Consider the following 26,118-nt stretch of genomic DNA (forward strand, 5'->3'; position numbering starts at 1 on the left):
GAAGCTATGGTGTGAATTAATTTATTTAAACTGTGTTGACTGTTATCTACTATGTGCCAGGCTCTAAGAGCAAGGTGAAGAATGGCACAGGCTTTAGAGTCAGAGGGACTTGGGCTCCAATACCTGTTTTATTTTCATTCGACTCCCTTCTTACTGCCAATGACAACCTCCCGTTCTGGAGTCGCCCACTCCTACCCTCACTACTCAAGTGCAGTTGTCTAATGGGTAGCCATGTTGCCTCTCTTTCCATGAAATTCCTGCTCCCGAGATATACTTTCTAGGGGGCTGTTTTCCCCTGCCCTGACACATTGGAGGTGCATTTTGGTTATTTAGAGCTTTGTCAGTAACAACTTCAATTAAAGTATACAAACTCAATTGCAAAACTCCACGTTATCCACCCCTAATCTCTGGTCAGGGAAAGCCGTCTTGGCCTGTTTGCCCACATTTCAGTGTCCCCTCCCCAAGCTTCAGTGCACATGTGCAGTGGCTTATGATAGTCATGTTCTCTCCCTTTTTGTGAGGTGTGCACACCTGGTCTCCACAATTCCTCCCCAGGGGTCTGCATGGATGTGCTTGTGAGATTTGCTGCTTTAACCCATCAGTATTAGTATGAGGTTTATAACTGTGGTGACTCCATAGTTTGTTGTCCCTGGTTGGCCAGGCTGTAAAAGTGGCACTATTAATCATTACACTGTGACAAGAGTGACCGTATATCAAGCCTTGCACTTCAGGAAAGTAAGTCACAGAACTGTCTGGGGCAAGCCATGATGTATAGTCACCTTATTTATACTCATATAGAAGCATTAACTCTAGGGTGCAAAATTGGGGGCAAAGATCTTTCTGTGTAAGCAGCGACTTGGCCTAGAAAGGCAGTTGAACCTTTTGGTGCTAAATCTGAGTATATTGTATTAGCCTTTTATAGTATTGGTCCTATTTGCTTGCAACAAAGTGGAGTCTAAAATCAGGGGGTATTGCCTGGTCTCACTGGTCTGCTTGTGATGTATTCATGAGGTAACAATCAATATTTGCCAGAGGTAGAGGATTAGATTGTCCTTAGTGTCGATTAGAATACCTTAAGCCAAAGTAGTTGTCAATATTTAAAGAATTTAAGAAGTTTTGGTTTAAAAATTCTATTAGCTTGAGTCAGCTCCAGCAGAGAGCAAGGTGAGAATTGAGTTCTAATCCCAGAGACCACCCAGCCAGGTTGGCCTATGGTAACCTAGAACCCTCACTGCCACAGTCAGGCTAGTCTTTGTCCTGAGATAGCAGCGACCCCACCCACTCCCATCTCAATGACCTGATGGCTCTGGTGGCCTCCCTAGGCCCAGGCAGTGCCTGCTGCTGCTTGTTTCTTGGCCCAGCCTGGGCAGGCCATCAAGGATGTGGTGCCTTTGGGCAGCAGACATGGTGGGGCAGGAAGAATGGCCGCAGCCCAAATGCTTAGGAGGGCTTTGAGGGGCCTTGAGATCTGAGAAGGTGGGTCAGTGTGGATGCCAGCTGGGTCACCTCAGCTTTAGACCATGGGCCCACTCAGGTCTGGGGATTTGGAGTCACTGCTGTGTCCCATTTGGATAAGATGCCACCTGGCCCTGGCAACAATAAATAAACGCCTTGCCAGATCAGTCAGTTGTGTGGAGCCCTGGACGAACACAAGTGCAGGGATCTAGTGACCAATGCTCTGTCTTTATTCTACCAGACCTTGATAATGGAAGACAGAAAAAGTAAAATAAAGAGCCACTTTTGGCCAATAGAAAGTGTCCAATACACTTTGGAAAGATTTTCTGTCCCCTTTAAGAGGGCCTAGTGTATATAATTTGAAAAGGCTGCTTTCAGCTTTTTTTTTCCCAAAGTAAAAAAGAAATTTTTGCTACATCTTCATAGTTGCTTATTCCAATGTTTAGAATTTGCTTTCACAGAGGAGGACTTTTTTTGAAGGTGTACCTGTGGTGTTACTTGAGTAGGGCACTTTGGCTTTGATTCTGGGTGCATGAAGTAGTGTAGTCTCTGTATGATTTCTTTGTCTGTAAACAGTGTCAGTGGTGTCTGTCATTTCCTTTGTGGCTTAGGGTGTGGTTATTAGTGGAGGTTACAGTGAAGTTCTGCTGGGGACTGGGATGACAGGTAAGCTAGTCTTTGGGCCCTCGTGGTGGTAACGGTGCACTGAGTGCTCCTGTTCCTGGGCTTCAGGGCAGCATATGCTGGCACCACTGTTAGTGTGTCCAGGTAAGCTAATTCTGGGGCCTCCAGGTGGCTTAATTGGGTGCTGGAAGTGGCAGCAGTGGGCCAGGCAGGTGAACAGGTTCTCTAGCCCCTGGGCAGTGAGCATAGCAGGGGCAATGTCGGTACCAGTGGTGAGACAACACTTTGGGATATAAGTGTTCCACTCTGGTATTGGCAGGAGCTGTGATGGGTTGAGAGGGCTGGTGCCCAGAACTGTGAGTGGCAATGTGCAAGTGGGTGCCAGTTGTGGTGATAGCAGAGGTTGAGTGTGCCTGACTTCAGACTCCAGGAGGATTACTCAGGTGCCACTATGGTGAACTGGGCTGTGTGACCTGCAGTCCCTGATGTGCTTGTGTACTGGGGTGGAGGTAGCCTGGCCAAATTGTGCTTCAACCCTGCCCCCCCGTGTTGCATATAAATGCTGGCTTTTGTATGCATGGGCAGGGTGAGCCCTATGCCACCAGTGGAATGATCAGGTGGAGGTGGCATGGCTGTGCTGCAGCCCTGATATTGAACAGGTTGAGGTTGCCTTCCATGGGAGCAGCCATAGGCAGAGAGTTGAGGGGCATGGGCTTCACTTGTACCTTGGCCCACAGTGTCTGCAGCTGCAGCAGTTGCAGGCAGTGGAATCTGTCCTTTGCACATGAGAATGTGCAGCCACCCCTCTTCGGGGGAGGTTAGAATTGTTTTCTGTGGCTTCTGCCTCAGCCCTAGTTGCAGGGCAGCATGTAGTCTGGTGTGGGTTGGGCTTTCAAAATGGTGCTATGCTGACACTACTTAGAACTTGGGGGTTTGTGGGACCCAGCATGAGTTTTCCCTCTGAAACAATGCCTTCACACAGTTTCCAGGGAACTTTCTATGTTAGTCTTCGGCCAGCAAGGATTGGGGGACTCTACCACGGCTAGGATTTTAGGAACCTGAAGCAGGAGCCACTGGGAGTCTCTCGCTTATCCTTTCCCCACACAGGAGAGTCTCTCCTGGCTCCCAGCCGATCTTGGTTAGGAGGCCAACTTGCTTCCTTCTCCTTTCTTGCTCTGGGTGTTTCCTGCCACTTCTGTGTTGAATTTCAGTATTCTCTCTGATGATCTATTCAAAGTGTGATTATCTACTCACTATTTTGGTTTTTCCTAGTGGAGGAGGCAAGTAAGAGATGCCTCTAATCAACCATTTGAACGCCTCACCAGGTGGTAATTTTCTATATCTTGTAGGTGATGTTTGTTCCTTTTACCTTTTTTTCTTTTTCCCTTTGTGTATTTTCAAATAGCCTGTCTTTGAGCTCACTGATTCTTTCCTCTGCTTGATCCATTTGGCTATTGGAAGCCGCTAATAAATTTTTCATTTCAGCAAAAGTATTTTTCAGTGATTCCTGTATGATTTTTTAAAAAAATCAATCTCTGTTAAATTTTTCTGATAAATTTCTGAATTGCTTTTCTGTGTTATCTTGGAGATCACTGAGTTTCCTTAAAACTACTGTTTTGAATTCTTGGTCAGAGAGGTTAAATATCATCATCTAATTAGGGTGTGAATCACTGGTTGCTTGCTTTGTCTGTTTGAGGAGGTCTTGGTTTTGTGTTTGCTGTTGTTTCTTGTGTATGTACATCTATGTCTTTGCAGTGAAGGATTAGCTACTTATACCAGTCTTCTCTGTCTGGCTTGTTTTGGTTTTTATTAAATATGTTTGATTAGAGATTCTTTGCAATTTACCTGTTATCTTTTTTCCCACTAGGTCACTGCCTCTTTTTTTGCACTAGATGGCGCCTTAATTAAGCTCAGGTTTGCCTCCTCAGTTCTGGTACTCAATCAGGGTGCCACCAGTCCGAAATGGGGAAGGTCCCAAATAGGATATCCTGTTAGTATGGGAAGACTGGTCAGGGGTTCATGCCTGGAGATCTGTGGAATGAACCTCTTACAGCATGGTGCTGCTGAACAGCTAATCTGTTTTGGCATCTCTTGACTGATTTACACAGCAGAGTTTCCAGGGCTGAGGATGGCAGTCCCACTTCCCCTACTTGTCTGTGGCTGTCTACAGAAATATTCCTCTCTTCAGGTACTCTCAATGCTTCCCATGAGTTGAGGCAGAGACAGGTCTCCTGTCAGGTAACCTAAGATGATGGGAAGCTGTTGTTTACCTCAATCATACTTTTTCCAGTGTGGAAACTATGAGTTGGGGGAAATTTTTCTATGCACTTAGTGCTGGGCAGATTGGGGGAAAGGGCATCACAAATATGGAAGTTTGATCCTCTAACATCTGCTCAGAGTTTTTTTCACTTCTCTGCTGCCCTGGGAACTGTCTTATCCTCATATTTGAGTTCTGGGATGTTGCTGGTGATAATCTCAATGCCGTATATTTGTTTTTGGTTTTGAGGGTAGGAAGTAAAACCAGCTTGTTTCTATGCCACCATTTTGAAGTGGGAAGTCTAAATTGGGTTGTTTGTCTTTTCATCATTGAGTTGTGATAGTACTTATATATTATGGATACTAGACCATTATCAGATATAAGATTTACAAATATTTTCTCCCATTCCTTTTGTTGTCTTTTCACTTTTTTGATAATGTCCTTTGACAAACAAAAAATTTTAATTTTGGTGAAGTCCAATCTATTTTTAATTCTATTGCTTATACTTTTGGTGTCATATTTAGGAAAACATTGCCTAATCCAAAGTACGAAGATTTACACCGATGTTTTCTTCTGATAATTTTATAATATTAGCTCTTACATTTAGGTATATGACCCACTTTAAGTTAATTTTTGCATATGGTGTGAAATAGGAGTAAAAAAATTATGCTTTTTGCATGTGGGTATTCATTTGTCCCAGCAATATTTGTTGAAATGACTATTCTTTCTCCATCGAATGGTCTTGGCACCCTTGTCAAAAATCAATTGACCATAGATTTACATGCTTACTTCTGGACTCAATTCTATTCCATTGATCTATATGTCTGCCCTTATGACAGTATCACACTGTTTTGATTAATCTAAGTTTGTAGTAAGTTTTGAAATTGGGAAATGTTAATCTTCCAGCTTTGTTGTTTTTTAAGATTGCTTTGGTTTTTTTTAGGTCCCTTGTATTTCCGTATGAATTTTAGAATCAGCTTGTCGATTTCTCTAAAAAAGGCAGCTAGAATTTTACTAAGAATTTCTTTAAGTCTGTAGATCAATTCAATGAATATTGCCATCTCAATATTAAGTCTTCCAACCCATGAACATGGGATGCCTTTCCATTTATTTAGGTTTTAAAAAATTTCTTTCAACAAGTGTTGTAGTTTTCAGTGTACAGTTTTTTCACTTCCTTGGTCAAGTTTATTCTTAAGTATTTTATTCTTTTTGATGCTACCGTAAATGAAATTATTTACTAAATTTTATTTTTAGGCTTTTCATTGCTATTGTAAAGAAATGTAACTGATTTTCAAGTATTAATCTTATATCCCGCAACTTCACTGGACTCATTTTTTAGCTCTAATTGTTTATTTGTGGATATTTCAGGGTTTTCTATATATGAGATCAAGTAATTTGTGATCAGCAGTACTTTTCATTCTTTTCCTATATGGATGTCATTTCTTTCTTTTTCTTGTCTAATTTCCCTGACTAGAGCTTTCCATACAATGTTAAATAGGAATGGCAAGAGTAAACATCCTTGTTTTGTTCCTGATCTTGCAGGAAATGATTCAGTTTTTCATTATTGGGTATGATGTTGTCTGTGGGGTTTTCATAGATGCCTGAAATAGCTTTGATATTTTTCCCCTTCAAAGCTCATGTTGAAATTTGATTTCCAAATTGGAGATGGGGCCTAGTGAGAGGTATTTGGGTTATAGGGGTGGATCACTCATGAATGGCTTGGAGCCCTCCGTGTGGTACTGAGTAAGTTCTTGCTCTATTAGTTTATGTGAGAGTTGACTGTTTTAGAAAGCCTGGCACCTCCACCCATCTCTCTTCCTCCCTCTCTCACCATGTGACACATCTGCCCCCACTTCACCTTCTGCCATGAGTAAAAGCTTCCTGAGGCTCTCACCAGAAGTAGATGATAGTGCTATGCTTCTTGTACAGCCTGCAGAACTGTAAGCCAAATAAATGTCTTTTCTTTATAAATGACCCAGCCTCATGTATCCCTTTATAGCAATGCAAAGTGGACTGAAACAATGCCCTTTATCATGTTAGAGAAGTTCCCTTCTATTCCTAGTTTTTCAGTGCTTTTATTATGAAGGAGTGTTGGATTTTGTCAAATGTTCTTTCTGTGTTTATTGAGATGATCATGTGCCCCCTCTTTAGTCTATTAATATGGTGTATTACATTAATTTGTTTTCATACACTGAACTAACCTTGTATTCCTGGGATAAATCTTACTTGGTCATGTTGTATAGTCTGTTAACATGTGAGTTTGTTAGTGTTTTGTTGAGGATTTTGTGTCTATATTCATAAGGAGTTTTGGTTTGTAGTTTTCTTGTGATGTCTTTGACTTTGATATCAGGGTAATGCTGGCCTCATAGAATGAATTGAAACATGTTAACTGCTTTTCTACTTTCTGGAAGAGTTTGAGAATGATTGGTTTAAATTATTTAATTATTTGTTAAACCATCAGCAGTGTAACCATCTGGTCCTAGGCTTTTCTTTGTTGGCATTTTTTTTAATTATTATTACTGAGTGTCTCAATTGTACCCACAGGATTTTAATTTATAGAGCTGACCAAATGACAACAGACAGAGATGCTAATCCCATTGAAAAAGTTTTGTTAATTACATTTCCCAAGAGAAGGGAATGCATCATGCCACACAGGGTCACATGGGGAAGCACCAGTGTTGGTTAGGAGGCAGAAATAAATGAGGGAAGCTTATGCTAGAGCCTTTATTGGAGTTTCCATAGGAAAAGCAAGGCAAGGCAGGAGAAACAGCTTAGGGTTGGCTACTTTGAATAATTCTGGTGGGTTTTTGGACATAGGAACGCTTCCTAGTTGTCTGGTACCTGACCCTGGGTTGATTTAGGGCAGGGGAAATGTGGCTTGATATGTGAGAGTTAGATAAGGTGGTAGTTCTGAGTATAGGCTCTGGATTGCAGGGGAGATGTTGATAACTTGGCCATTAGTTTGGCCCTGTAATTAATGGATGCCAAACAGACAAATACAGAATCTGCAAAAACATAGTTAGAACACTGACTCAATTCCTTTACATTCAGATTTTCTAACTAATTTTAGTCATTTTTTATAATTTGTCTGTTTCTAGGAATTTTTCCATTTCATCTAGATTATCTAATTTGTTGACATACATTTGTTCATAGTATTTTCTGATAATTCATTTTTAAAATTTTCTGTAAGGTCAGTAGTAATGTCCTGAGTCCGACTCTTGATTTTAGTAATTTGAGTCTTTTATTTTTGATCAGTCTAGTTAAAAGTTTGTGAATTTTTACTGTTCTTTTAAAAAACTGACTTTTCATTTCACTGTTTTTTTTCTATTGTTTTCTGTTCGCTATCTCATTTATTTGTGCTTTAATCTTTATTATTCCTTTCCTTCTGCTTGCTTTGAGATCAGTTTCTTCTTATTTTCCTAGTTTCTTAAGGTGCAAAATTATTAGGTTATCAATTACAGATCTTTCTTCTTTTTGTAATGTAGGTATTTACAGCTACAAATTTCCCTCTGAGTACTGTTTCTGCTGCATCCCACAAGTTTCGGTTGTTATGTTTTCATCTTCATCATCATCATTTCAAAGTATTTTCTAGTTTACTTTGTGATTTCTTCTTTGACTCAAGTAGCTATTTAGTAGTGTTTAGTTTTCACTTAGTTGTGAATTTTCCAAATTTCCTCTTGTTACTAATTTCTAATTTAATTCCATTGTGGCCAAGGAACATACTTAATGTGATTTTAATCTTTTAAAATTCATTGAAACTTGTTTTGTGGCTTACTATGTGACTTATCTTGGAGAATGTTTTATGTGCACTTGAGAAGAATGTTTATTCTTCTATTGTTGGGTGGATTGCTTTCTAGACATCTATTAGGTCAAAATGGCTCATGCTGTTGTTTACGTCTTCTGTTTCCTTGGTGATCTTCTCTCTGTTTGTTGTAGTCATTGTTGAATGTGGGATATTGATGCTTCCCACTATGAATGTAGAACTGTGTATTTATCACTTCAATTCTATCAATTTTTGCTTCATATATTTTCAGGCTCCACATTAGAGGAATTTATGTTTATAATTGTTATATAAAATGAAAAATGTCGAATAATTCAATGGAAACGTATCTTTTGGATAATATTTCAATAGTATAGATCTAAGAATGAATTCCCTTAGAAGCATTATACTTATTGTTCACTATTGTTTTTGTCTCATTTTAAGTCGAGCATTAAGAGAATAAAGTATTTTAATTGTAAGTCTGCCAAAATCTTTATCCAGATAATTTTTGTCATTTTTGTCTTTTATGAAATTTTTGTCCCCATGGAAGGCAGGATTACATTTCTTTCCCAATTGAGTTGGTGTTGTATATTCTTGGTTTTCAAAATATTCATGACTTTGGGACATTGAATTGATAAAAATTCATGATATTCTTTGAACTAGTAAAGATTCATACTGTGTGATCTCAACCACATACAAATATATGCGCAATTGTGTGTGTACACACATAAGGATTTAGATAGATATTTCAAGCTGTAAGCTGGGTGTGACTGTGGGTGATTTTGTGTTTTTAAATTTTTCAATAATGTACATATTCACTTATAAAAGTTAAACAAAAATAAACATTATTTAAAATACCATTGGCACTTTACATTCTTCCTGAATGGCTGAGATGGGTAATTTCTGGCCATCAGGCAATACCTTACAAATCCTCTTAATTATAGTCCTGGTAAAATGAGTATCTCTGTCACAAGGAAGGCTAAAAGGAACAACTTCTGGCTATCCAGAGAGAAGGAAGACAGTAATGAATACATATTCAAATCCTTGCGATAAAGGAAGTTATACAAAGTTCACTTGTAAATGTTCGAAGAATCCTCAAGGCTGTGGTTCCTGTCTATGTCTTACCTTAATGGTTTTTCCAGGGTTATGAGTCTTGTAGATGGAACATGCACTAGAGACTTCATCTCCTGTTTAAAATTTTCCCAACAATGTTGTCTGAGAATAGTTTTCAAGTTTATTTACTGTTATGAATCATAACCTGCAAAATTTTCATCAAGCTCTGTTTCAGAGAGACTGGAGAGACCAGGTGCAGTCTTGGTGTCTCCATAGGAACCCATCTGATTGGAGGGAACACCCAGATTTCTCCCAGTATCTTTTTTCAGAGTCTGGTGCTTTAACTGCAATTTGCTCAAAGTTTCATGGAAGCAATCTGCAGTAACCAGGTTGTCTTTAATATGCTGAACAAATTGAATGTGGCGAGAGCAGCCTGTTTAGCATACTGGTCAGACAGGGCATTTCCTTTTGCTTTATGGGTTTGTTCCCTAGTATGAGATTTGACGTTAATTACAGTCACTTCCTTGAGAGAGTAGCAAAGCATCTAGTAAAGCCTGTATGTGCTCATGCTGCTTATTGAAGTACCAGAAGCTGTTAGGAAGCTGTGTTGTTTCCATAGCATGCTAAAATCATAAACCAAACCAAAGGCATATCTGCTGTCTGTGTATATGTTAGCCCTTTTATTCTTTGCTAGCTTGGTAGGCTAGAGTTAAGCCTATAAATTCAGCTGGTTATGCTAACTTGACTTCAGGAAGGTGGTCATATTCAAAAAGCTCTTAGGAAGTAGTGACGGCATACTTAACTTGAAAATACACCTGTTCAGTCTCAATATATGACCAACCTACAAAGAATTCTGAGTTTTGTAGAGGAGTTTCAAGAAGATCAGAGAGAGGCAGATAAAGTTCTCAAGTTAAACAATCATGAGACTTTTCACCTTCTCTGAAAGAGGAAATAAACTAGCTGCGTTAAGATTATGACACTATTAAAGAAGATACATAAATGGCCAATAAACACTTGAAAAGGTGCTCAACATCATTAGTCATTAGGGCAATGCAAATCAAAACCACATTGGGATACTACTTCACACCCAGTAGGATGGCTATAATTTAAAAAGCCCAGCAGTAACAACTGTGAGAGTATGAAAAATGGAAACCTCATATATTATTGGTGGGAATGTAAAATGGTGCAGTCATTGTGGAACAGTTTGGCAGTTCCTCAAGCAGTTAAACATAGAGTTACCATATGACCCAGCATTTTTACTCCTAAATATATACCTAAAGAAATTGAAAACCCGTCTTCAAAGAAAATCCTATGCATAAATGTTCAAGCAGCATTATTCATCATAGCCAAAATGTGGAAACAACCCAATTGTCCATCAACTGATGCATGGATAAACATATAATGGAATATTATTTGGCCATAAAAAGAATGAAGTAATGTATTGATACATTCTACAACATGGATAATCCTTGAAAATGTTATGCTAAGTTAAAGAAGCCAGATACAAAAGGCCACATAGTGTATAATTTCATTTACATAAAATGTTCAGAATAAGAATATCCATAAAGTTGGAAAGAAGATTAGTGGTTGCCAGGTGGAGAATAATGAGTGATTGCTTATGATTTTTCTGGAAGACAATGAAAATGTTCAGAAATTAGATGGTGATGTTGGTTGCACAACATTGTAAAACATGAAAAACCATGGAATTGTACACTTTAAAAGGATAAGTTATGGTATGTGAATCATATCTCACTTTTTAAAAAAGAGTACAGTATTCCTATAGACTCCTAATAGATGATGATATGAACGGAGGACAGAAATAGTAATTCATAAGAAATGAGTCTAGAAGCAGAGAAATGTTGGGTGCTTTGGTGATGAGAAGGGTCTGAGCTTCATTAGGTACCATTAGATGAAAAGGTGATCCCAAGATTAAATGCGGCGACAGCTACTGCCCCCAGGAAAGAGGGATATATTTAGCTACTGGATGGAGCAATATTGTAATACCCAATGAGTCTCTGATTTCCATCATGTTTCTAAGATAAAACTCCAAGAGCTTGATCATCCCTTTTATATATAAACCAAAAAAAAAGATAGTATAATTTTGGGGTGACCCAAAATGAAATGCCTTGGGTTGGTCAATGGCTAACTCTGTAGTGACCATCCAAGGCAGAAGCTCAGGAATACCATTTTAATTCATGTCACTGAGGGTGCCAGCTAATTCAGAAAAGTTGGAAATCTACCACCTGCAATATCCTATAAGTCCCAGAAATCCTCTAAATTGTCTTTTGGTAGTAGGGCAAGGGCAATTTTGAATGACCGTACTCCTATTCACCGGGAGGAATTTGCCTCCCTAGGATATACCATGGCTTAGATAGTGAACTTGGGCCTAAGGAAACAGTAATTTATTCTTACAAATTTATCCTTTTATACAGTAATTTAAACAGTAAATTATTATTACAAATTTGTCCTTACAATATTTCCTTTTATAAACAAAGTTTCTGATATAGAGTCTTCTTGAGAAGAGGTTAAATCAGGTGAACATAAGAGCAAGTTACTTACTATCTGATCAAGGCAGAGGACCAGGGAAATTGTAAGTCTTTGAGATTATGATTGAGAAGCTGAGAGAAGTGTGAGGGGGCTTGCAATGTGAATGCAATGAATGAAGTGAATAGAGGACTTAAGAGTGGGTGCATAGGAGTTGAGGGAAGCCCCATAGGATGGTGTACTGGGTCATGAGAGACTGAGAGATCAAGAAAAAGGCCTTTGGATATACATCTAATAGTAGTTCCCCATTGAGCCAAAAGGTCCATCTGTATAGGTTAGGGAGGGTGGAAGACAGAAGAGAAAGATATATTGAGAGGTTAAGCATCCCAAAGAGATAAGCGAAGGGTTAGAGAGAGGAAGTGAATATGTTTAACAAGTGAGTCCCACTACTGAGCTTTTTAAAATTATTCTGAGGAAGGATGGTAGGAAACTAGAAGGAATTAATGATGGAGAGTGTGTCTCCAGGGTCTACTAAAAAATGAGCTTGGGTAGCCATTCACAAATAAATAGAGTTATTTCTCCTTGCTGATCCAAAGACAATTGAGGATACTGAAGGGTACATTCCTCGGAGAAGGGGAATTGCTTTATTTCAGATTGAGTAACCTGTATAGTGTTGCCAAATAAAATATGGGAAGTGCAGTTAAATTTGAATGTCAGATAAGAAATGAATCATTTTTTAGTACAAGTGTGTACCCAACATTTCATGGGACATACTTATGCTAAAATGTTACTCATTTATTTGAAATTCATATATTTTTTCATTTTTATTTGCTAAATCTAACAACTCTAGTTGAGTGTCTCATTTCTTTGCTACAGCGGGATGATTGCAGGTCCAGTGTCTTTTTCTCTGCAATATCTGCAAGTGTCTGTGTCTCTCTGTGTTTAAATTGTGGAGGGCCTTTTTATTTCCCCCAGGCTGTTCGAGTTGTAATGACATAAGTTTGCGGTGTGCTTCTCTCTTTATTTACTATGCTTTCCACAAAATGCTGGTTTAAAATCTGCTGAACTCAAAGTGTTGTAAATCATGAGTGGATGTGGTCTGCCAGCCTGTTTTATGCTTCTGAATAGCATCTGATATATCAGGGTTAAGGCCATTAGTAAAGAATGTGCAGATTGTTGTTGGAGTGTTAGTGTTAATGCCCAACCCTGAGCATTCCTAAAAATGCTTTCTATCATTGGTCCCTAAAATTGGAAACAGATTTATCACACCCTTGCTGACAGGTTTGGATTATTCCTCAGTCGATGGAATAGTGAAAACCTTCACCAATTGCCTTTAAAAGACTTTCTCCTCTCTATTTGGCTTTTCCATATCCAGAAAGGGTGAAGGTATGGGTCAAAAGGTGAGAGGAAGGTGAGAAAGTGGAAAAGGAGGAGAAAGAGAGCAGAGCAGAGGACAGAAAGCAGAAGAGTAGGGAGGCCAGGATAAAGTCAGATTGTAAGGGGAAGAAATAGAGTTTGATAGAAAGGAGGAGGTCTTTGGAGAGAGAGAGACAGCTGAGGTTGTTTTAAAAGAAGACTCAACAGATTGGAAACTTTCTGAATTGTTTCTTTCCTCAGCTTCTTCTTTTGGCTTAAGGAAAGCTGTCCATTGTAAATATGTTATCTGGTTTCCTTTTGCTCTAAAGAATCATGCAAATGCTTGCGTTGTGACATGTCCCGAGAGTCCCAAATGAACCACTGCAGCTAAAAATTGTCTTCCTTGAGGTCATACCACTTAGCTCATAACAAAAAAGGTTCAATGCAGAAGAAAGGTGAAGGGCCTGGTCCTACATTATGATCATCATCTAATTCTCTGCTCTTGGAGACCTGAAAGGCCAGAGAACTCCAAAAGACAAAAGGAAAATAGAAGTAATGACTTTAATCAGAAAACAAGTTAACCTTTCCAAAGAATCAAAACATGGAACTTCCTTGACACAACAAAAAATTGGAGCACGTGAGTGGGAACAGGACTTATCTGACCCAATAGGGCCCTCCAAGAAGGGAGGAAGAAGGTCCCTCAGTTCATTCTGTCTTTATCTGAAACCTCAGTAGGCTCAAGGGCCTATTCAGACCCAATCTGAGTCACAGTGACAAAACTGTTAAGGACCAAAATAGTTAAAGTGACTCAAATAGAGGTTACAGGCTTTATTCAGTTGATGTGCATCAGGGAACATGCAACTCAATGTTAAGTAACTCCTTGAGCCAAAGTAGGATCGGGTTTTTATAGGACAAGCAGCGGAGACTCCTCATCTCTTCTGTGACTGTGGTCTTGTCCCAGCTTGCAGTTTTCTTTATCTGTAACCGCTGCAAAACTTCCAGTTGGAATGGTTGGAAATTGTTCTGGTTTCTCGGGATCATTGGTGCAATCTCATTTTGGCTACTGTCAGGACAGTTCTTTCAAATGTGATCTTTGTAAGCTGGTGAGTTGTCTAATGCCAGTTAAGGTACAGGAAGTGGAGACATAGGAAGGAAAAAAAGGCAAACAAGAGGATAAAATAAAAGGAGACAAAGTTTCAAGCAAGGAAAAACTGTAGTCTGTTTTAATTCTTTTACAGTTGTCTCTCAGCTTCCACCATTTATGCACTTCCCACTCAGATGCACAAATTCCAAAGTTCAAACCTCAGATATTTTCTTCTACCTACAGCCCAGCTCTAATGATCCCAGTGATCTGCCCTCCAAATACTCCTCCGCATCCCAGTTTTGTTGCCTTCAGGTCCTCCATCCCTTAGCCACATCTGTTGGGGTGGGGAGCATGAAATCAGGGAAGGCCTCATGAAGGAGGCTGCATCTGAGCTGGGCCTTGAGAGATAGGGCAGGATTTGCCAGGGTAGAAACAGAGGCAAAGACCTTTCAGTAGGAGACAATGGAATGAGTGTGTTCCTTCTTCAAATACAGTATTATGGAGTGTCTTTTTTTGTGTGTGCCAATCATTAATCATGTACTGGGTAAGAGTATGGGCTTTATGGAGAAAGGCTCAAATCCCAAGCCTTGCCACTTCCTGGCCATACCAGAGCTTGAGGATCAGCCATAACATAATCACTGAAAAAGGCTAATTTGGGGCTTTGACAAACTGGAGAGCCAGAGCTCTGTTTAGTGGAGATAACTCCTGCTCAGATGTTGGCAATCGTAGCCATGTGGGCCTGCTGGGGTGTGATATTCTGGTATTTCAAGAAAAGCAAGAATTTTGGATTTTTATGTGAAATATTTTAATGTTTAAAATATTGGCCACCAAATTTAAAGGAATAATTTTATAGGTCAAACTATACACATCTGTATACTAAATGTTTATAGTGTTTTTGTTGTTTAAATTGACAGATATCATTGTGCATATTTATCGTGTACAACATGATCTTTTAAAGTATGTCATCATTAAGTATAGTCACCACACTGTACAATTGGATCTCTGCATTTGGCAAGTTTGCCATACTGACTTAAAGGCTTAACTGGATACTTATAACAGCAGGCAAGGCTCTCAAACTAGGGCCTCTGCTTCGTTTCCAGCCTTGCTTCTACCAACATCTTTCCTTCCCTGCCATTCTCTGGCCCCATATGGTAAAGCTGTTGCCCAGAGGAGCCTTTTTCTTGCACTTGTTGTTCCCTCTGCTTGAAGTGTCCTTCTCCACATCCCCACTTCAATTTTCTTTTCCTGACTAACATCTTCTGTTATTCAAGGGCCATCTCCTTTGACAAGCCTTCACCAATTTCTTCTTGTGCTTCCACAAACCCTGGATAGTGCTTACTCTGCTGTATCGTCATTTCATGTCAACTCATCTTTGTTTTCCACTAGACTGGGTGGGAAGCCTGAGACATAAGAGAATGCAAGAAGTATTTCTTTAGAAAACGAATAAATGGAATGAATATATGTTTACAAAGCCACTTTCATTTATGTAAACATGCACCGCTTCTGTATCCACCCATCCATTTATTCAGTAAATATTTATTGAGCACCTATTATGTGCCAGGCCCTGTTCTAGGTGATTAGGATGCAGGAATGAACATACCAGATAAAGTCCCTGTCCTCACAGAGCTCATATTTTAGTGCAGAAAGACACTAAACACAGTATGTACTGTAATGTAACATGATGATAAATGCTCTATGGAGAAAATAAAAGTAGGGCAAGGAGTTTTAGGGTGACAGGTGCATAGGGCAACTGGGGAAGGGATCGCTGAGAAGGTGATACTTGAACAAATATTTGAGGGAAGAGAGGGAGCAAAACCCTACAGACAACTGGAGAAGAGCATACCAAATGGAAGGAACAGCAAATGCAAAGGCCCTGAAGTGGGAGCATTTTTAGCATGTTTGAGGAATAAAAAGGAGGTCAGAGTGGCTGCAGAAGGCTGAGCAAAGAGTGGTGGGAGATAAGGTCATAGAGGCAATGGAGATCTAGACCATATGCCATCAACTTATCCAACCACCCATTGAACACATACCCTCACTGAATAATGTGGTAAGAAATTTCAATATTGCTGGGGTGAGTGGTGGCAGTTCCAGGGAGCTATATGTAGGACAAAACAGCTTTCCCTACAGATAGATGCTTTCCTTAGTTCTCTCCTTACCCAGAGCCCTTCCCACCAGGTTCTCAGATGCAGGTCCTACAGGAGACCAGGCACTGTTTGCCTTGGGAGGGTCATGAACTGGTGGAAATTGGCCAAGTTGTTTCCTGCTGGTTGGGGCTGGGACCAGGCTGTGCACCTCCGCCTAGTTGGAAGGGGCTCTAGGGCTGTTATTCATCAGATACGCTGCTGTGTGTAACCATTCTCAAGTTTCCCTCCTTTGCACCTCTCCCTCTCCCAGGAAGTCACACCAAAAGAGTCAGGAGACCCATGTTCTACTCTCTGCTCTGTCGCTACGAGCGGTGAGATCCAGGGCAGGTTTTGGGCTCTGTGAAATGAAGGATTTGAACTTGTTCTAGCATTGTTAGGTCACCTCTGTGTCTTAACGCTTTCTGCATGGTGGGCCACCTGAGTTCTATTCCTGGCAGTGGGTCTTTTGTGACCCTCCTCATGCTGCTGCACCCAGGTGTAAGCACAGCTGGGCTGCTTATTCAAAAGCAGTGCAGGTAGTGGGGTTTGACTGAAGCCCCAATGTCTCTTCTCCTGAACGTCTCCCTCCACACTTTTCTCCTGGGTGTCCTGACATTTCTGCCATTAGTCATTCCCCACAAAGGTGAGAGACCATCTCCAGGGGTAAAGGAGCCAGCAGGCCTGAATGTCTGCCCTGCCCAGACGGGGCTCAGTCATCCTCTTGGAGAGCAGAAAGGAAAGGCATCTCTCCAGAGGGGGAATGATACGAGCTGAGACTGTTAGAAAACCACTGGGGGAGGCTGATGTGGGGCTCACTACTGAGTGTTCCCGAGCAGCTCCAGACCACAAAGAGCCAGGGAAAATTAGAAAGCTCACTGCCTGAAAAAAAGCCTTAACAGATGAGGGCTCTGAAGAAATAGTTAATCTCACGGTTTGGTTTAAGGCTAGTTGCTGTGTAAATAACTCCTCAGCTGTGGATTTTTTAGATCGTGAGGCAGAGTTGAATCCACTAAACAAGCAGAAAAAGGAAGACACAATTTATTTGTCTGGCAACTCAGAGGAAGGCTGCACATTCTTGCTTTGCTAATCTCAGCTCTGGCCTTCCACCAGAGTTGCTGCTGCAAAGGATTGTGGGAGTCCTAAGTCCTTCCTATCAGAAGGGCTGAACTGGGCAGGAAGACTTGAGGCAGTGGAGGAGGTTTTGGGGTTGGGGGTGCTTGTACAGCCCGGTGACCCAGCATCTCAGGTCAGGGGGATCCTGGCTGGGAGAGGAGGATGGATGCGTTCTCTTGAATTCTAAGGATTAGAGCATCCTGTGAACTCAGCCAGGTCTGGATTCCAGACCCAAATTGCTTCCTTTATGAGCTCTCTTTGAAAATATAAAGGCATATTAGGAGCCAAGATGTTCCTTTCACTTTAAACTAGGAGTCACAAGATCACACGAAGTGGGCCAGGTATAAGCAGCAGGGAGTGAAGGGGATTGTGGGAGCTGGCAGCAGCCACTACTCTGATATCGTCAATTGTTGCCATGGTGCCATCTGCCTGGATGGCCACATCTACCAGGTGTTTTTTTGTTTGTTTGTTTGTTTGTTTGTAGAAAGATCTTTACACAATGATTTTAGAAATTTCCCACATTTCAGTGTTGGGAATGAATTGCTTTTGCATTTATACCACAAGCATATCGAGAGCACTTACTGTCTGCAGGCACTGTTTTAAGCACTTCACAAATAGTAACTTATATAGTTTTTATAACAATCTTATATGTAAGTTTTATTATACCTTATTTCGTGGATGAGGAAAACAAAGCACAAAGAAATTAAATAATTTGCCTAAGGTCCCCCAGCCAGTAAGTGGCAGAGCCTAAGTTTAAAGCCAAGCTGCCTGATTCTAGAGTCCATATTCTTTGTCACTAGGCTATGCTGCCTCTCGTTAAAACCAAAGACAGCGGAAACAAAGCATATGCAAAACACTGTACAGGACTAAAACCAAACAGACAAATGACCAACAATAAAAAACACACACACACCCAGACCTTTTGTTTGCTTCTTATGATTTAAACCCAATAAAACAGAATTTGCCATCTTTGTCATTTTTTCCTGCTTTTGTGTCTACTTTGTACACTCCTTCATACCTAACTCCTGTCTTAACAATTATTATTATTATTTTAGATGGAGTCTTGCTCTGTTGCCCAGGCTGGAGTGCAGTGGCATGATCTTGGCTCACTGAAACCTCCGCTTCCTGGGTTCAAGCGGTTCTCCTTCCTCAGCCTCCCGAGTAACTGGGATTACAGGCATGTGCTGCCAAAACCAGCTAATTTTTTTGTATTTTTAGTAGAGGCGGGGTTTCATCATGTTGGACAGGCTGGTCTCAACTTCTGATCTCAAGTGATCTGCCTGCCTCAGCCCCGCAAAGTGCTGGGATTACAGTAACAATTCTTTTTTTTTTAAAGATATTTACAATACTGATATTTTCCAGCCCTTACGTACAACCAATCTTGCCTCCTGCCTTTCTGCCATTCTTGGTCTCTGAAATGCTACTTGTCTCTTTCTTTTTCTTTTTCTTTCTTTTATTGTCCATTCTAGATTCTCACTTTCAAAATTCATGATCAAATCCTCCCAGAATTCCTCTCCCCTGCCAGGTGGACCCCAATGAGCAATGAGTATTTGAGGGCTCACAGACATCCCATGCAATGACCCACAGTCTCTTTCCTGTACTTGTATTTATTTGTTTTCTGTGTAGCATAATGCAGCTATTCATAATCATAATACTTCTTAGTATTAATCTCTATTTTGTGTGTATTTGTCTTATCTTCCCAGCAAGAGCGTGACCCTGGGGAGCAGGAATTGGGTTGACTATGTATTCTGTTGTCCCTTGCCCAGTGCCAGGAGGCCATATCACATAATGGGTAAGGGCATGGGCTTTGGAGCCGTCCCACCTGGGCTCAAGTCTTGGTCTTCTACTTACAAGCTGTGTGACCAATGGCAAGTCACTTACCTCTCTGAACTTCATTTTCCTCATCTGTAAAATGAGGAGTATAACTAACACTTCCTTTATATGATTATTGTGAAACACAATGCATAAGAAATGCTTCAGCCAGGGCCTTATTGTCATCTAGTATGTCATCAGCATTTCGTAGCTCTTATCACTATGTCACAGGTACCATTAATCAGTTTTGGTATCTGTGAAATGCTTCAATTTCTTGGCTCCAAAAGGATGTCTGTTTTTTAGGGTTAATTTCACTCAGGTATGGCATTTTTAAGAAGTGTTGGATAGGACCAGTCAAAAAATACAAGGCACTGCAGTTATAGAAATAGAATGTGACTTTTTTGTGGCTCTGGTCAAGCTTAACCTCTCCAGAATTGAAAGAATTGGAGGGTCTAGGACCTCTTTGTGTTGAATAGGAGTTGGGGGAAGTGCAACTGCACATGCCTGTGATTTTTTTCCAAGCAATCTATGACATGTGTTTGTACAGTGCGTCAACACAAATTGCTTAGGAGTAGGCTTCCCCAAACAGTTCAATGTACATAATAGGTTGAGTCACACTATCAGTTAACATAGAGTTCCTGGTACTAACCCACTCCAGCCTCCCTACTATCACTAGGTAAGCAATCCCAGGCTACTCAGCACAAGCTGACTCATACTTATTGTTAAAACATGACTTGCCAAAGGAGAACTTTCTGCATGGTTCTTCCCTCTAAAACAGGAAACAAAGATATTCCAAATTCAAGATGACAGGAACCTCCATGGCCCTCCTTCAATACGCCCTTGAAATTCCCCTGCTTCACAGCCTTACTGAGATCCACTTCTAGCACTTTTCTGAAGGCCTCTGGAGGACTCCCAGTAAGATGTCCAGAGGGCACATTTAGGGACGTGTGGTCACATTAGGTTCATCACTGAGAAAAATTACTGTCCTTATGCGTGGGGATGGCAGGCAGAAGAGGGACTTTCACTGCATAACAACATCACAGAGCTCACTTGGGTTTCTCTTACTGTTATTATAATGAGGGCACCAGCAACAGTGGTTGGAATGTTGCACAGGTTTGCAGGTTTGGAGAGACAGAGAGATGTATGAGGTGGAATTTGAAGTGCCAGGGGGATCTTTAAGAGGAGATGCATGGCAGGCAGTTGGAAAAAGTAATGAAGCCTCAGTGGTGCAGTTATTGCCCAAGGGGTTTTTGAAACACCTTCTTTAGAACCATTCCAATATAAATGAATTAAAATCTTTAGACTCTAAGCACTGACTAGATTTCACCTTTCATATGTAATTCAGATTTTTAAAAAATTATACAAAACCACAAAATATGTAAGAGAAAGTTCAATCAATAAATTCTGATTTTCCTTTGATGCTTACTTTGATGATCAAAAAATATATATGAAAAAGCTTTAGCCTCAGATTTTCCCCATCTACCCTGTTTCTGTTTCTCTCTCATGCTGGTGCCATAAGAATTACATTGGACTGCCTTTTAGAAACCCCAGACTGCCTTCTAAGTCAGCTCCCAAGCACCGCAAAGACAGTAGCCTCTTTACTTTATGATTACACCTCATTTATTGACTACGAAGCAACATTAGTGCACTTGATTACCACCTTATTAATTAGAATTTGCCTCAAGTGACCTAGCTGTTTCCAAAGAGCAAATCTTCATCAAAGGGTAATGATTTGCCACTATTTCAGACTTTAGGACATTTAAAAAACATTTCACCTTATCCCACACAATACACAAAAAATACTCCAAATGGATTAAATCCAAATTCATAAATTCACCAATTTAACAAATAGTTATTCAGTGCCTACTGTGTGTAAAGCACAGTTCTATGCCCTCGGGATAAATAGTGAACAAAACAGACTGAAATTCCTACTTTCTTGAAACTTACATTCTAGCTGGGTGGTGAAGCAAATAATAAGTAAATTGTGTATTATGTGAAAAAGTAATGAGTGCTATGAAAAAAGGAAAAAGCAGGTGGATTGGGAGGGCTGGAGTGGGGACAGTTAAAATTTAAAATTGTGTAACCTTGCTGAAAACTGATAATTGGGCAAAGATCTAGAGAAGATGAGGGAGTCATTTCTGCTGATACCCAGGGTGAAAGTGTCACACAGGCAGAGTCAACTGCTAGTATAAATGCCTTTTTTCATCTTTCTTTTTTTTATTTTACTTTAAGTTCCATGATACATATGCAGAACGTGCAGGTTTTTTACATATGTTTACATGTGCCATGGTGGTTTGCAGCACCTATCAACCAGTCATCTAGGTTTTAAGCCCTGCATGCATTAGCTATTTTTCCTAATGCTCTCCTTCCCCTTGAACCCCAACCTCGTGACAGGCCCGGTGTGTGTTGTTCCCCTCCCTGTGTCCATGTGTTCTCATTGTTCAACTCCCACTTATGAATGAGAACATGCGGTGTTTGGTTTTCTGTTCCTGTGTTAGTTTGCTGAGAATGATGGTTTCCAGCTTCATCCATGTCCCTGCAAAGGACATGATCTCATTGTGGAAGACAGTGTGGCAATTCCTCAAGGATCTAGAATCAGAAATACCATTTGACTCAGCAATCCCAATACTGGGTATATACCCAAAGGATTATAAATCATTCTACTATAAAGACACATGTACACGTATGTTTATTGCAGCACTATTTACAATAACAAAGACTTGGAACCAACCCAAATGTCCATCAGTGATAGGCTGGATAAAGAAAATGTGGCACATATACATCATGGAATACTATGCAGCTTAAATGCCTTTTTAAAAGTGGGCATGTGCCAGGCTAGTTGAGGATTCAACAAGGAGAGCAGTATGGCTAGAGCAGAGTGCAGGGGGGAAGTATGCTAAGAGATGAGGTTAGAGAGGTGGTGGTGTGGGTAAGACAGATCATTTTAGCGTCTTCTAAGCTATTTTATTTTTTTAAATTTTAATAATATGTTTTACTTAACCCAATATATTCCAAATATTATTATTTATATAGTCAGCATAAGAATTAATGATATTTTTCCATGTTAAGTCTTTGAAATCTAATGTGTTTGCTACACTTACAGCACATTTCAAGTGTTCAAAAGCTACTTGAGGCTTGTGGCTGCCACATTGGACAGCACAACTGTAAGAGAAATACAAAGGGCACTGGAATTGACTTAAGCAAATTTAGGGGCTTATAATTGCCCCCCATCAACCACCTAGAATGTGTTAACTAGGATACTTCACACATGGGCTATACATTCCTAGGTAATTTTTTGTTTGTTCGTTTGTTATTGTTTTTGAGATGGAGTCTCGCTCCCCAGTCGCCCAAGCTGGAGTGCAGTGGCCTGATCTGGGCTCACTGCAACCTCCAATTCCCGGATTCAAGCGATTCTCCTGTCTCAGCCTCCCGAGTAGCTGTGATTACAGGTGTGTGCCACCACACGCCCAGCTAATTTTTTTTCTTTTTGTATTTTTTGTAGAGACGGGGGTTTCATCACGTTGGCCAGGCTGTTCTCGAACTCCTGACCTCAAATGATCCACCCGTCTCAGTCTCTCAAAGTGCTGGGATTACAGACGTGAGCTACCACACCCAGCCTCTAGCTATTTTAAATGCTTTGGTTTCTACCAAATTGGAAACGAGTGGAGAATCTGAGCAAAGGTGAGACATGGTCTGACTTACATATTAAAAGAATCTTTTTGCCTGCTGTGATAAGAATAGACTGTGAGAAGGACAAAGGTGGAAGCAGGAAGACCAGTTAGGAGGCTATAGCCATGATCCGGGTAATGGGCACTGGTGGCTCAGATGAAGAGGGGGGCAGCAAAGATGGGGGAAGTGCTTAGAGTCTAGATAGGCTTGAAACACAGAGCCCAAAGAATTTGCTGACAAATTGGATGTGTTATATGAGAAAACGAGAAGACTCAAGGATGATACCAAGGTTTTGTCCTGAGCAACTAGAAGAACAGGATTGCTATAACTGAGATTGCAAGAGATAAAATTATAGAAGCATTAACAGAATATATAATATCATAATTATACAATAATAATATAGAATAATATTTCTATAGTCTTGGATTGGGGAAGACTTGCCTAAGGAAGGCATGAAACTCAGAAGCTGCAAAGAAAAAAATTGATAGATTAAAACATAATGAAAATTTCTTTATGGTGAAAAACATAAAATTAAAAAGGAAAGTGATAGACCAGAAGAAAATGTTTATAACATAGATACCAAACCCAGAGTAAGATTCATAACATATAAAGAGTACTTCTATAATATCAGAAGACAGATAACCCAGTGGAAAAATGGGCTAAGCTTGTAAACAAGCAATTCACAGGGAAAGGAATACCAGTTAGGCCAGTAAACCTCTACAAAGAGGCCCAACCACATTACAGAAATACAAATTAAAGCAACAACACAATACCAATTTTCACCCATGATACTAGTAAAAATAAAAGGCTGAGGACCACAGAGGAGGTTTACAGAGTAAATAAATAAATAAAAGACTGATAATTTTCATTGCCAACAAGGCTGTGGAGAAGCAGGCACTCTCATACACTCTTAATGGAGGTATGGTTTGTAAAGAACTTCTGGCGGACAATTTTGCAGTCTACCAAAAATGTAAACTACATACCCTTTGATCAAGCAATTCCATTTCTAGGGACCTAATCTACAATAATAATCACACAAGTGGGCAGATCTTGACAAAAGGATGTTCATTGCACCATTGTCAATAATATTGAAAAACTGGAAACCATCTAAGAATTTACCAATAAGAGAATGATTAAATAAATTGAGGTACATTCATATCATGAAATACCATGCAGCCTTAACATGGACAAGGTTGATCTATAGATGCAGCTGGACCTAGTGACAGAAAGAGAGAATAAAAATACTTTTTTTAAGGGAGAAAAGCAAATTATAGAACAAAATGTACAGTATTATCATCTTTATGTTTTAAAAAACCTCGTGTGTGTGTGTGTGTTTGTGCATGTGTACATGCACAGAAAAAGGTCTGAGAAAAATGCTAAACTCCTGTTCCATGTGAGCCTGGGAAAGGGATTACATGTGTGAGTGAATGAATGGGACTTTTTTTCCTCTGTATCCTTGTTTGTCCTTTGAAAACCATTTACTATCAAAATGTATTACTTTTGTAATTTTTAAGTTAAAAATGAGGGATAAATCAGATATCACATATTTCTGAAAGTTCCCAAGGAAGAATACTGGGGGCAGTAGCATATTTGTTACATTACAATCACACCGTGCCATTGTGTGGTGTGATAGGAACAGCTTCTAATGCGTGCTATGGTGACCTTGGGAAAAGCACAGCACTTTTGAGCCTCAGTTTTCTTATATAGAAAATGTAGGTATACCTGACTTATTTGTTGTATTGGAAAGCTACATGTTCATTGAACCATTGTCAATAATATTGAAAAACTGGAAACCATCTAAGAATTTACCAATAAGAGAATGATTAAATAAATTGAGGTACATTCATATCATGAAATACCATGCAGCCTTAACATGGACAAGGTTGATCTATAGATGCAGTTGGACCCAGTGACAGAAAGAGAGAATAAAAATACCTTTTTTAAGGGAGAAAAGCAAATTATAGAACAAAATGTACAGTATTATCATCTTTATGTTTTAAAAAACCTCGTGTGTGTGTGTGTGTGTGTGTGTGTGTGTGTTTGTGCATGTGTACATGCATAGAAAAAGGTCTGAGAAAAATGCTAAACTCCTGTTCCATGTGAGCCTGGGAAAGGGATTACATGTGTGAGTGAATGAATGGGACTTTTTTTCCTCTGTATCCTTGTTTGTCCTTTGAAAACCATTTACTATCAAAATGTATTACTTTTGTAATTTTTAAGTTAAAAATGAGGGATAAATCAGATATCACATATTTCTGAAAGTTCCCAAGGAAGAATACTGGGGGCAGTAGCATATTTGTTACATTACAATCACACCGTGCCATTGTGTGGTGTGATAGGAACAGCTTCTAATGCGTGCTATGGTGACCTTGGGAAAAGCACAGCACTTTTGAGCCTCAGTTTTCTTATATAGAAAATGTAGGTATACCTGATTTATTTGTTGTATTGGAAAGCTACAAAGATAAAATGGAAAATTAGTTTAAAAATTATAAAGCTCTATAAAACTGCAAAGGATATTTAATATTTCGTGTCCTAGTTAATGACCCACTTTTTAAGCAATAGTTAATAACATCAAAATCCAGGTCCAAGCAGAGAGTTTAAATTCTCTTTTAGAGTTTGTTATAACAGAATTCTTCCTGTCCTGGTTAGGTCTTACATAGCAGCAGTATAGATATTTTACTTAAATATTCCAGAGTGTTTTGTGTTTGCACAACAGATTTTGGTGCAGATGGGTTTGGGCAATATCCTTAAATCATACCCTCTGCTGCACTCATCTTAGGGCCAACCAACTCAGACATACTGAATTAATTAGCAAGCTCTTACTTAGCACCTACTTTGTGCCTAGTAATCCCCTGTGGGTAGGTAACCAGACACCCAGGTTTGTCTGGCACTGTTACTGTTTATGCTGTCTTTCCCAGGTAATTGCTAATAGTGCCCCTTTCACTTTCAAAAGTGTCCTAGTTTTAATGATCAATGGTCACACTACTATAATCACTTATGGGGCATGGAAGGAAACACAGGAAGCTTCTGGCTTACAAATGCCAGACTTATAAATTTCGCTCCCCATCCCACGTCCTCACCACTGGAACTACCGGTATTACTTCCAGGGTGGGGGGCATTGTGAAAACTATGGGTCTTTTAGAGACTTGGTGGACTTAGAAGTCAAGGCAGAACCAAGCCTGAGAAAAGGTGGTATGGATCTCCAGAGACCCACCCTACAAGTTGTCCTCCTTTGCAAAATCTTCTCCCTCAAACTATTTCTCTTTATTGCATTGCCTAATTCTCCTGGTCAGAGATTTATGTGAGGAAAGTAAGCACTGTATTTTTA

General features: G+C 39.9%; 1 protein-coding gene across 2 annotated transcripts in view; it reads left to right on the forward strand.

The window, feature by feature from the left end:
• The window catches only part of VSIG1 (V-set and immunoglobulin domain containing 1), a 60,306-nt gene continuing 36,311 nt past the window's right edge, over positions 2,124–26,118 (forward strand). For both annotated transcript variants that reach the window (XM_011530936.3, XM_047442073.1), the window contains exon 1: positions 2,124–2,223. In XM_011530936.3, coding sequence (XP_011529238.1) covers positions 2,196–2,223 — 28 coding nt within the window. In that variant the 5' untranslated portion in view covers positions 2,124–2,195. The remainder of the gene's footprint in view (positions 2,224–26,118) is intronic.

This window comes from Homo sapiens, chromosome X, assembly GCF_000001405.40.
Source record: "Homo sapiens chromosome X, GRCh38.p14 Primary Assembly".
Lineage (NCBI taxonomy): Eukaryota > Metazoa > Chordata > Mammalia > Primates > Hominidae > Homo > Homo sapiens.